Source organism: Homo sapiens, chromosome 10, assembly GCF_000001405.40.
Source record: "Homo sapiens chromosome 10, GRCh38.p14 Primary Assembly".
Classification (NCBI taxonomy): domain Eukaryota; kingdom Metazoa; phylum Chordata; class Mammalia; order Primates; family Hominidae; genus Homo; species Homo sapiens.
Window position 1 is genome coordinate 42,328,273 of NC_000010.11, and position 13,382 is coordinate 42,341,654.

Genomic DNA, 13,382 nt, shown 5'->3' on the forward strand with positions numbered 1-13,382 from the left:
GATATTACATTTTATTAATTGCTATTTCCACATCTATTGAGATAATGTGGTTTTGTTTTTTAATTATTTTTATATGTTGAATCGCATTTATAGATTGCACGTTAAAACATTCCTGCATTCACAGAATAATGTCCACATAGTTGCAGTGAAATAACTTTGATTTCCTGACTCAGTTTGCAAGCATTTCATGAATAATTTTTGGGTCTGTATTCATCAGGGACATTGGCCTGTAATTTTTTTTGTTGTGTCTTTACTAGGTTAATATATCAAGATGACAGTGATATTATATGATAGAATTAATTAGGATGGAGTCCCACTTTGATTTTTTGGAATAATTTCTGTAGAATTACAGCCAACTCATTTTTGTATATGTGATAAAATCATGCTATGAATGCATCTGGTTTAGTACTTTTTATAATTGGTAGATTTTTTTTATCACCAATTCAATTTACTTACACATTTTTGGTTTCTTGAAGACTTCTGTTTATTCCTGATTCAATCTTGGGAGGTTGTATGTTTCTAAGAGTTTATTCATTTCCTCTAGATTTTCTAGTTGGTGTGCACACAGATATTTATAGTAGTCTGCAAGCATCTTTTGTATTTTTGTGGGATTGGCTGTCACAACTGTAACATTCAAATAGATGCATAATGAAAGTGTAACAAAATTCAATATCTCCTCATAATAAATCTCTTGAACTAGTTATAAAATAAATGCAATTCAAGGTAATGTCATTAACAACAATGCACACCTAACAACATACTAAATAAGGAAAAACTGTAAGCCTTTTCTCTAAGAGCTAGAACAAGACAAGGATGTCCAATTTCTCCAATCTTTTTTTTTTTTTTTTTTTTTGAGATGGAGTCTTGCTCTGTTGCCTAGGCTGGAGTGCAGTGGTGCAATCTTGGCTCACTGCAAGCTCTGCCTCCCAGTTTCACACCATTCTTCTGCCTCAGCCTCCTGAGTAGCTGGGACTACAGGTGCGTGCCACCACGCCTGCCTAATTTTTGTATTTTTAGTAGAGACGGGGTTTCACCTTGTTAGCCAGAATGGTCTTGATCTCCTGACCTCGTGATCCCCCCACCTCCGCCTCCCACAGTGCTGGGATTACAGGTGTGAGCCGCCACGCCTGGCCCAATTTCTTCGATCTTACTGAACATAATACAAAATGACCAAGACAGAAAAAATATTCAATAAAATCAAAGCAATCTTAAATAAAATGAAGAAGATAAATTATAGTTTCCTTGCAGATGATATAATCTTAAGTATAGAAAAACCTAGGACCTCACAAAAAATTATTAGAATATACAAATTTATTAAACTTGCAGGATCCAAAATCAACATAAAAAAATTCCGTAATATTTCTATATACTAACAATAAAGTATCTGAAAATAAAACCAAAAAACAATCCTATCTACAATAATTGCAGCAGTAACTATACTTAGAAATGAATGTAACCAAAAAGGTGAACGATCGGTACATTATAATCTAAAAAAAAAAGAATTTAGAAAATAAATAATATTCAAACAAAAAGATATTTCTAATTCATAAATGGGCACGATTAATATTGTTAAATAACTGCATTACACAAACTGATATACAGATATAATAAAACTTCTATTAAAATCCAGTTAAATTCTCCATAGAAGTGTTTTTAAAAAATCTAAAATGTATATTGCCCCACAAAAGACCTTGAATAGCTAAGAAAATCAAGCAAAAAATGAAAAATAAAAGGCTGAAGGAATCACTCTGACTTTTAAATGTCCAACAAAGCTACAGTAATCAAAACAGAGTGTTACTTGCATAAAAATGGACACATAGGCCAATAGAGCAAAAGAGAAAGACCAGAAATAAATTCATGTATTTACAGACAACTGATTGTAAATAAAGATGACAATTTAAAAAAAAAGTCTTTTATAAACGATGTTGAGAAAATATATATCCACATGCAAAATAATAAAATCAGACCTTCATCTCACACCATATATAAAAATTAACTCAAATTAGATACTTAAATGTGAGACCTGAAAATCTAAAACTAAGATGAGGAAATATAGAATGAATGCCCCATAACATTGGTCTGGGCAGTGACTCTTGGGTTTAACCTCAAAATTTTAGGGGGAAATAGACAAACCAGATTTCTTAAAATTAAGAAGCTGCTGCACACCAACAGATACAATCAGCAGAATGACATAACTGAAAAATGGAAGAAAATATTTGCAAATTATACATGTGAAAAGCAGTTAATATCAAAAATACATAAGAAACTCAAAGGACTATAAAACAAAAAACAAATAACCATTAAAAATAAGCAAAAGATCTATATAAATAATTTTCAAAGAAAGACATACTTATAGCTTGGCAGATAGATGAATATGGCTCAGTCAATTATCATCAAGGAAAGGCAAACCAAAACAACTCTAAGATATAAACTCACTCCTGTTAGAATGTTTAAAAAAAATTGTTGGTAAACTTGAAAAAAGAGAAAGAGGAAAGCTTTCACACTGTTTGTGTCAATGTAAATAAAAACAGCCATTATGAAAAATAGAAATTTTGCAAAACAATTAAAATCTAACATGTAATTGAACTACTGGATATCTATCACAAAACAAATGAAACTAGATTGATGAACAGACATCTGCAATTCTGTTTGTTGCAGCACACTTTACAGAAGCCAAAATATAGAATCAACGTATGTGTCCATCGTCCAATGAGGAAATACACACACTATGGTGTATATATACAATGGAATACTATATTTTAAACAAAAAATCTTATTTTTAATCACAAAGATAAGCCTAAAGGACACTATAGTTGTTGAAATAAGGCACAGAAAGGTTAATATCTCATGATTTCACTCACATGTGGATTCTACAAAACATATATTGATTACATAATTACAGTTGGATAAGAAAAATAAGTTCAAGAGATTATAATGCATGTATTGTGTTTCTGAAAAAATGCTAAGACAGTAAATGTTGTCTTCGCACCAAAAAGTAACTATGTGAGGCAAAGCACTTGACAATTACCTAAAATTAGGCATTGACAATGTATATTTACTTCAAAATACTATTTTACAAAATAAATACATATTTTATCAGTGAATTTAAAAATATATTTATAAAAACTATTAAAAATGACAAAGGTTCAAATTCTGACTCTGTGTTTTTGTCATAAACCTGTCTGAATAGTATGAAAGATACATAGTTTTTGTGCTGTTTTTTCACCTAGTCAGTCATGACCATATGAACTCTAATATTTACCACCATGTTTTTGGGACCCAGCACAGAATATGGGAGAAGCCAACGTACCTTAGGCCTTTTACTTTGAGCTTGGGACACCTGGAGTTTCTGGTGCTGGTGGTAATGATAGGGAAGACACAAAAAGGGCAGGTGTTGCTGTGGTTCACATGATTAAACCACTCTGAAGAGAGTAAATAAGTTTGCATCCCAGATCACTGAAGAAATTTTTTAACTCAAAAGATGACATGATCCTTAAAATTTTTCCAGATAAAATGACCAAGGAGTTGACTAGTTAGGTGACAAAGAATGAAACCTCTAAATTGTAAACTGCACCCAATAAAAAAGTACATTATACAAGTGTGAGAAATTCCTCAAGATTTTAATGTTAATATGAAAAAGATTACTTCACATGTGAAATCCACAGGTGTCATTCTATTATTTTTGAATATTTAACATTCACACCAAAATAAAAGATTCTGAATGAAAACTTAAGTTGAGCTGTAAGTATGTAATAAAAAATTTAACATTCTCCACTTACCATTAACTCTTCTAAAAGTTTAATTTCTAAGACATATCTTCTAACTAATTTTATATTTTCCACACATTGTGTTAATTTTGTTTTTTTTTGAGATGAAGTCTCGCTCTGTCATCAGGCTGGAATGCAGTGGTGCGATCTCAGCTCACTGCAACCTCTGCCTCCTGGGTTCAAGCGATTCTCCTGCCTCAGCCTCCTGAATGGCTAGGTCAACAGGTGCATGCCACCATGCCCAGCTAATTTTTGTATTTTTAGTAGAGATGGGGTTTCACCATATTGGCCAGGAAGGTCTCAATCTCTTGACTTAGTGATTCTCCCACCTCAGCCTCCCAAAGTGCTGGGATTACAGGCGTGAGCCACCACACACAGACTGTGTTAAAATTTAATAAAAGTTTGGTTTTACAAAGACAAGAAATTCTGACTGATTTATTCCTCTCACCTGTGAACACCGGATGCCTTTTATCTCAATTAACGGATCTGAAAGTTACATTGACAAACTTCTCATCAGAACCTACAAAGTACTGTGTGAAATGACATGGCACAAAACAAACAGCAATAAAAATGTAGCCATAACACAAAGAAGAAAAAGAAGGGCTGTGATGCATACACAGTTGGGATAAACATAAGTAGACACAAAAACAAAACTAAAGATAATCAGAAAATAAGAAGAATGTCTCTTTAAATTCAGAAAGAGTCAGTTTTGCAGCATAAGAACAACGTCCTCTCCACATACAGAATCGATTTTATTTCTTCACCACGCATATTTCTTTATCTTTACTTGGAGCTACAAACTAACTCCAGCAGAAATATTTATGGCCAATAATGGTGCCTCTATTACAGCAAGCATTGTGTTTGCTACATTTACATATCAAAATATCTTTGTGACTTATGAAGCCTCCCCAGTATTTACTTAAACAAATTGGCTGAATGAATAAATTCACCTATGTCAATTATAAAGAGTAAAAGGAACAATAAGGAAACTTAGCTTACACAGGTTTCTCCAATTAAAATAACAAAATGGGATGTTCTAACTAAATGAAATATAAGTTGGTCAGATGCAGTGGCTCACGCCTGTAATCCCAGCACCTTGGGAGGATGAGGTGTGTGGACCACGAGGTCAGGAGTTCAAGGCCACTCTGGCCAGTATAGTGAAACACAGTCTCTACTAAAAATACAAAAACATTAGCTGGGCATGGTGGCACATGCCTGTAGTCCCAGCTACTTAGGAGGCTGAGGCTAGAGAATTGCTTGAACCCAGCAGGTGGAGGGTGTAGTGAGCTGAGATCCCACCATTGCACTCTAGCCTGGGTGACAGAGCAAGACACCATCTCAAAAAAAAAAAAAAGAAAAAAGAAAGCAACAAAAGAAATATAAGTTAATACACTCATTGTGAAATAACATTGAAAAATTATTTTGCATGCATTACTAAATTTTATAAAAATTCTTAGAATATCTGAGCAACTCACATAATGAATACTTAATAAATTATAAACACAAAAAATATGAAAAAAAAAATCAGTCTACCATGAGTACCAGGCAAATGAAAGAAAGAATTTGCATGGAAAGATTCGGAAACACAGTCCATAAGACTTCACAGTAATTAATTAAATAAAATGCAGAGAATACAGATATTATTCAAAATCACTGAGGTTTCTGGTTTTCTAGTAAATGATTTGTCCACTTTATTAAAGTGATATTTTGTTCCAATATTGCTTGTCTTCTGAAAATAGGTACTCTCACACACAATTACTTGCCCCACAATTTTCTTACACCTAATGTTTATCTTAAGAGTAATATATTTGTATATTTAGCATCATGTAAGTAAAAACTAACAGTCTGCATGAGTTTACAGGCAGAGAGTCCACTTGTTCAAAATATATATGACAAATTTTTAAAAATATTCATTCAGGACTTAGAAATGTGAGATTTATTATACTACTATGTAATTATTATCAAGACGATAAAAAACCTCTGTAGCAAGTAATAATTTACTTGTACATTTTTAGATAACTAAAAATGTTTAAATGGATTGTCTGTAATACAAAAAAAATGCATTAGGTAATGAATACCTCATTTACTCTGATGTGATTACAAATTGTATGCCTGTATGAAAATATTCTATATATGCCATAAATAGGTAAACAATATTATGTTCCTACAAAAATTTAAAAAGTTAAACAAATGTACATTTTACCCATTGAAACAATACTGTTAAACTTTTCAGTTTAATGCCACAGGCAAAAGAGATTGCTAGAGAGGTCATTCTACTATGTTACCATCTTTTATCTACATCTTTAATACAGTGGGATACGTTAAAGTTGGTGACATAACACTTTACTAAATGCACGTCTTAAAAAGTTTAAAACCATTTCGTTTAATTTAAAAGTTAAGTTATCACAGTCTTATAAAAGAATTTTAAAATTCCCTACATTTTATTACATAAAAGTACAATTGGTAAAACAATTTACTACTAAAACTCAAAGTTTTCCTCTCACTATAATGCAGAATATTACTCTAAACACATAACTCATGCATCACATGAACAATGTTAAAAGTCAGCCATAAAGAGCCTCTCCAATCAGATTTTCATTATCATCTTACATTTTAATATCCTTACTCTTCCATGGAAAAATTAATGAATGATGCCTACCTAATAAGAAAGGAATCTCTCAGATTTCTGATGCAACAGAAATTGATGACATGCTTTTACACAAACAACAGGAAAAAAGGAACAGCATGAAGCAATTTTACAGTTGAATTACCTACTTGCTTTTCAAAAAACTTACACTTTTTTCAAGGAAAAACGTATACCTTGAATGTAATTTTAACTCTCCAAAAAATAACCTTCCACTCCTCTTAAACTTATATACAAATAAATTATCCAACAGTTTTAGCTTTGGATTACTTTCTTTACAGAACATTCTGATTTAGTGTAACGTCTTAAGTGCCAGTGCCTTAGTTCTCCCTACCGTGAATTTTCTAAAGTTTACAAAGACTTAATTTTGACTAAATATTTTTACATATGTATTCCATCTGCAAAAATATTTTTTATTATAAACTGTGTGGTGTTTTGTAAGCTGTAGTTTCTGAACAAATGTTTTTCCACACTTATTACATTTGTACGGTTTCCTTCAACATAAATTCTCTGATGCCAAACAAGTTTGAGTAATTCCTTTAGAGTTTTCTTCTAGTGTAAAATCTGTACATTATATAGGGCAAGTAAAGGTATTACAACCCTCTTTATATTTGTAATGTTTGTCTCCAGAATACTCTTTTTTATTTTAAGGGTTTATATTTTCCAAGGTCTTTGAACAGTAATTACATTTATAATAATTTTATTAAGTATGAACTTCCTGATGTTGACTATGATGTGAGCAGATAGAAATGGCTTTTCCACACTCTGTATAATTTTTCAAGTATAAACGCTTTTATGTGCCATAAAGTATGAGCATGTTAGAAGTTTTGACACATTCTTTGTTTGTAGAGATTTTCTCCACTATCAATTATTTTACCTACAGTAAGATGTGACAACCATTTAAAGGGCTTGCCACATTGTTCAGTTTTCTGAGGTTTCTCACTGATATTTCTCCAAGGCTTAGGAAAGTTTGAGGTGTATTCATAAGCTTTGCCAAACTTCCTTAGGTTCATAGGCATAATCTTTAGTATGAATTATGGCTGGATATATTTGAGCAATACTTAAAAGATTTTGCCACAGTCTTCCAATTTGTATGATTTTTTTCCAGTATGAATTCTCATAAGTTTAGTAAGGCTTAAGGACTGGTTAAAGGCTTTCCCACATTCTTTACATTTGTGGGATTTCTCTTCAGTATGAACTCTCTTATGTTGAGTAAACTTGAGGAACAAGAAAAAGTTTTGCCACATTCTTGACATTTGTAGGGTATCTCTCCAATATGAACTCTCTTATGTTTAGTAAAGCTTAAAGACCAGTAAAAGGTTTTGCAACATTCTTCACATTTCTGGATTCCTCTCCAGTATGAATTCTCTTATGTATAGTAAGGCCTGAAGACTGCTTAAAAAGCTTTGCCGCATGCTTCACATTTGTAGGGTTTCTCTCCAGTATGATTTCTCTTATGTTCATTCGGTTTTGAGGAGTGTTTAAAGACTCTGATACATTCTTCACATTTACAGGGTTTCTCTTCAGTATGAATTCTCTGATGTATAGTAAGTTCAGAGGACCACTTAAAAGCTTTGCCACATTCTTCACATTTGTATGGTTTCTCTTCAGTATGAACTATCTTATGCTTAGTAAGGCTTGAGGAACAGTAAAAGCCTTTGCCACATTCTTCACATTTGTAAGATTCCTCTCCACTATGAGTTATCTTATGTTCATTCAGGTTTGAGGATTGTTTAAAGCCTTTGCCACATTCTTCACATTTGTAGGATTCCTCTCCACTATGAGTTATCTTACGTTCATTCAGGTTTGAGGATTGTTTAAAGACTGCCACATTCTTCATATCTGTAGGGTTTCTCTCCACTATGAATTATCTTATGTACATTAAGGTCTAAAGACTTCTTAAAAGCTTTGCCACATTCTTGACATTTGTAGTGTTTCTCTTCAGTATGAACTATGTTATGTTGAATAAGGTGTGAGGAACAGTAAAAGGCTTTGCCACATTTTTCACAATTGTAGGGTTTCTCTCCAGTATGAATTCTCTTATGTATAGTAAGGTTTGAAGACGCTTAAAAGCTTTGACGTATTCTTGACATTTGTAGTGCTTCTCTCCAGTATGAACTATCTTACGTTTAGTAAAGCTTAAGGACCAGTAAAAGGCTTTATCACATTCTTCACATTTGTAGGGTTTCTCTTCATTATGAATTCTCTTTTGTATAGTAAGGCCCAAAGACTGCTTACAAGCTTTGCCACATTCTTCACATTTGCAGGGTTTCTCTCCCGTATGAATTCTCTTGTGTATAGTAAGGTTTGAAGACCACTTAAAAGCTTTGCCACATTCTTGACATTTGTAGGGTTTCTCTCCCCTATCAATTATGTTTAGTAAAGCTTAACAACCAATAAAAGGCTTTACCACATTCTTCGAATTTGTAAGGGTTCTCTCCAGTATGAATTCTCTTATGTAGAGTAAGGCCTGAAGGTTGCTTAAAAGCTTTGCTACATTCTTCGCATTTGTAGGATTTCTCTCCAGTATGAGTTCTCATATGTTCATTCAGTTTTGAGGATTGTTTAAAGGCTTTGCCACATTCTTCACATTTCTAGGGTTTCTCTCCACTATGAATTCTCTGATGTATAGTAAGGTCTGAAAACCACTTAAAAATTTTGCCACAATCTTTATATTTGTAGGGTTTGTCTCCAGTATGAACTATGTTATGTTGAGTAAGGCCTGAGGAACAGTAAAAAGCTTTGCCACATTCTTCATATTTATAGGGTTTCTCTCAAGTATGAATTCTTTTATGTTCTTTCAGTTTTGAGGATATTCTAAAGGCTTTGCCACATTCATCACATTTGTAGGGTTTCTCTCCCATATGAATAATCTTACGCATAGTCAGGTTTGAAGACTACTTCAAAGCTTTGCCACAGTCTTCACATTTGTAGGGTTTGTCTTCAGTATGAACTATGTTATGTTGAGTAACGGTTGAGGAATAGGAAAAGGCTTTGCCACATTCTTCACATTTGTAGGTTGTATCTCCAGTATAAATTTTCTTATGTTTATTCAGTTTTGAAGATTGTTTAAAGGCTTTGTCACATTCTTCACACTTGTAGGGTCTCTCTTTAGTATGAATTCTCTCATGTATAGTAAGACCTGAAGACTGCTTAAAATCTTTGCCACATTCTTCATGTTGGTAGGGTTTCTCTTCAGTATGAATTATCTCATGTTGTCTTAGGTGTGAGAACCTGTGAAAGAATTGGCCACATTCTTTACATTTGAAAGGTTTCTCTCCAGTATGTCTTCTCCTAAGTCTATTTGAATTTGAAAATTTCCTAAAGACTTTCACACATGTATTACATTGAAGTATTTTGCTCTGAGTAACCGACAAACATTGGTTAAGTCCATTATAACCTCCTTCCTGCAACTTAGATGCATTCAAACTTTTACAGCCTTTTCTTATTTGTAAATTCTCATGTCTAGATTTCTCATATCTTCTCAGTATCACTTTTTGAAATGAATTTTTTATGTTCTGATCTAGCCAAAGGTCTTGGGTGAAATGAGAACACAGCTGAAAGAAATAAAAATAAATTATCTCAGTAGGCCCATGTGAATATACAAATCTATTGTTTACAAATCTAATACATAAAATTATACAAAGTACATTAGCAACATGGCATAACAAAAATACCACAGGTCCTAATTCTTTTATAGAGTTATAACAAAACTCTACTGACCAAAATGTCCTTATGGAAAATCTAGAAATGAGTTAAGTGTGTTCAGTGTACCAGGTGAGCAAAATGCCACAAGCCATACTGAATGGATAGAAAAGTTTGTTACATTTGCCCAACACCTTTCCTCCTCCATAATGCAGCATGGCACTTTTAGAAGTAAACTGCAATGTCTGGCATCTTCCTCAATATAGAAAAAAAAAAAAACTGGCTCATGTATTTTTACTTCTGGCTTCTGGACACTTTTACAGAGACTTGTTTCTGTCTCCAATGACAAAATGTGCTGAAAGAAATTATGGTATACTTTGAAATAACAGCTTGAGTCTGCTGAGACCAAAGGTAAATGTTACAGCAACCAACTACAGTACCACAGACATGAAATATGTATAGGAAGTAATTACAGACTGTTTAAGAAACACAGGCAAACCCCTTTAACTGAGTAATCAACACAAAATTCCACACATGACAAATCATAACATATTTGATAGGCTCCCAGAATCTCTAGTTGAGACACTTGGTTTCAGACTATGTTAGGACAACACCGCATTATAAAGATTGTGACACATAGCTGTTTGTTAATGTCCAAATCTCAACCAAAGAGTACAATACATACAAAATATTACAGTGACATGGCCTAAGTAAAAAAAAAAACTTAAAACTGTCAGAAAACAACCATGAAAATAAAGATGTACACATTAGTTTTAAAAATTTAACCTAAATGGGAACACAGGTAACTAAATAAAATCAGAAAAAAACAGACTATCAAGGAAAAGATGAAAAATATAATAGAAATTATGGAAGTAGAAAATACAGATAGAAATAATGACTGAGGCCAGGTGTGGTGGCTCATGTCTGTAGTCCCAGCACTTTGGGAGTTTGAGGCAGGCAGATCACTTGAACCTAGGGAGTTCAAGTTTAAACAGGGAAACATGGCAATACTTCTCCTCTATAAAAATTAAAATTAGTCAGGTGTATTGGCACACACCTGTGGTACCAGTAAACAGGAGGCTGAGGTAGGAGGATCACGTAAGCCTAGGGAATCCAAGGCTGCAGTAAGCTGCAATCATGCCACTGTACTCAAACCTGGGTGACAGAGCAAGACACTGTCTCAAAAAGTTAAGAATACCTGAGAAATTCTCAAAAGTAAGAAAATAAGGTTGTAAAAATGAAGAAGCTCAACATACTAAAACTAGGAAACACACAGATCCATAACAAGACATGCAAAGCAAAGTTCCCAAAATCACAGACAAAAAGAGAATCTCGAATGCTGGAAAATACATAATTATGGTTCTATGATATAACCAGTGACTCTTTCAACAAAAACCTTGCAGGCTAGAAGGAAATTATGTGCTATAGTCAAAGCCAAGTGAAAAATAGCTTCTGTGTAAGAATAATATAACCAGAAAAACTGTGCTACAAAATGAAGAAAAAGTAAAGACCTCTGAAGATAACCAAATGTGGAAAAATTATATCAACACTACATACGCCCTACAAAAAATGCTGAGAAGAGTCCTACTACTAAAATTATATGATGCTAAAAAACAAAACTATCATATAAAAATAGATAGCTTTCTGGGAAAAATATAAAGATATGCAAATATTATACAAAAAAATCCTGTAGCATTATCATAATACCAAAAAATGTTTTATTTAATTATTCTCTAAAATTTAAAGATAAAAGCTAAAAATAATAATGAACATCTGGTATAAATATATAACATAAATAGATATGTTTAGTGACATCAATAACTAAGTTGAGGACAGATGTAATAAGAAATAATTTGTGCATGAACCCGAATTTAAATTTCACCACTTCAAAATATATTGTTGAAATTTTAAGAGATTTTTATATAATCCTGAAGGCACCCACAAAGAAAATGTCTGTATAGATACAAAAAAGGAAGTAAGAAAGAAGTGACAGCCTATCCATACAAAAATCAAAAAGACACAAAGGAAGATAGAATGAGAAACAGACATGCAAGAATCATTAAACAATAAAATAACAATAATCTTTGTCTTCAGAAAATAAATATTTTAAAAACAGACTTTCCAATCAATACACATATATTGAATAGAGGGATTATATAAAATTTTATGTACCAAGATCCAACTTGCCTTTCTTCAAGAGTCACTTGAGATCTAGTAGTGAAATCGGCCTGAAAGTGGCAAGTGGAAGAAGACATTTCAGGCAAACATTAACCAAATGTGAGGAGAAGACATCAAAATTGTATTATACAAAATACATCGTAAGTAAACAACTCTCTTATTTTATAAAATATACTTTATGTCAAAATTCACAAGAGAAAAAAGGTCATTAAACAATAATAAAGACATCATTTATTGAAAACGTATGACAAATATGTGCATACATATATTTATATGTTTGTGTGTGTATGTGTATTTCTCACATTAGGTTTCCAAAAATACAAATCAAAAATTGACAGAATTAAAGCAACAAATAGAGAGAAATATAATTATAATAAGATATTTTAATACTTCAATTTCTGCAATGAACAATAAAACAAAACAATATTAATAATAGAAAAGAGGGCCAGGTACGGTGGCTCATGCCTGTAATCCCAGCACTTTGGGAGGCCGAGGCAGGCCATCATGGGGTCAGGAGATCAAGACCATCCTGGCTAACACAATGAAACCCAGTCTCTACTAAAAATACAAAAAATTAGCAGGGCGTGGTGGTAGGTGCCTGTAATCTCAGGTACTCAGGAGGCTGAGGCAGGAGAATGGCATGAACCCAGGAGGCGGAGCTTGCAGTGAGACGAGATCGCACCACTGCACTCCAGCCTGGGCGAGAGCGAGACTCTGTCCCCAAAAAAAAAAAAAAAAAAAAAAAAGGAAAAGAGAAACTGAAAGCAGTACAGATGGGGACAAGTGGCTCATGCTTGTAATTCTAACACTTTGGGAGGCCAGGGAGGACAGATCACCTGAGGTAAGGAGTTTAAGACCAGCCTGGCCAACATGGCGAAACCCCATCCCTACTAAAACCCCATCTCTACTAAAAATAGCCATGTACAGTAGCAGGCGCCTGTAATTCCAGCTACTCAGGAGGCTAAGGCAGGAGAATTGCTTGAACCAGGGAGGCGGGGTTTGCAATGAGTCGAGATTGCGGCACTGCAGTCCAGCCTCGGTGACAGACCAAGACTCTATCTCAAAAAGAAAAAAAATACCAAGAAAGCAGTATAAAACAATATTATGCCTAACAAAGAACACCCCTTAATAATAGCAGGGTACAACCA

General features: G+C 33.4%; 1 pseudogene across 1 annotated transcript in view; it reads right to left on the minus strand.

Moving 5' to 3' along the window:
- Positions 1-3,593: 3,593 nt before the first annotated feature.
- The window catches only part of LOC441666 (zinc finger protein 91 pseudogene), a 36,180-nt pseudogene continuing 26,391 nt past the window's right edge, over positions 3,594-13,382 (minus strand). The window contains exons 2-3 of the transcript NR_024380.1: positions 12,229-12,284; positions 3,594-9,968 (exon numbers count right to left, since the gene is read on the minus strand). The product of NR_024380.1 is annotated as a zinc finger protein 91 pseudogene (transcript). The remainder of the gene's footprint in view (positions 9,969-12,228; positions 12,285-13,382) is intronic.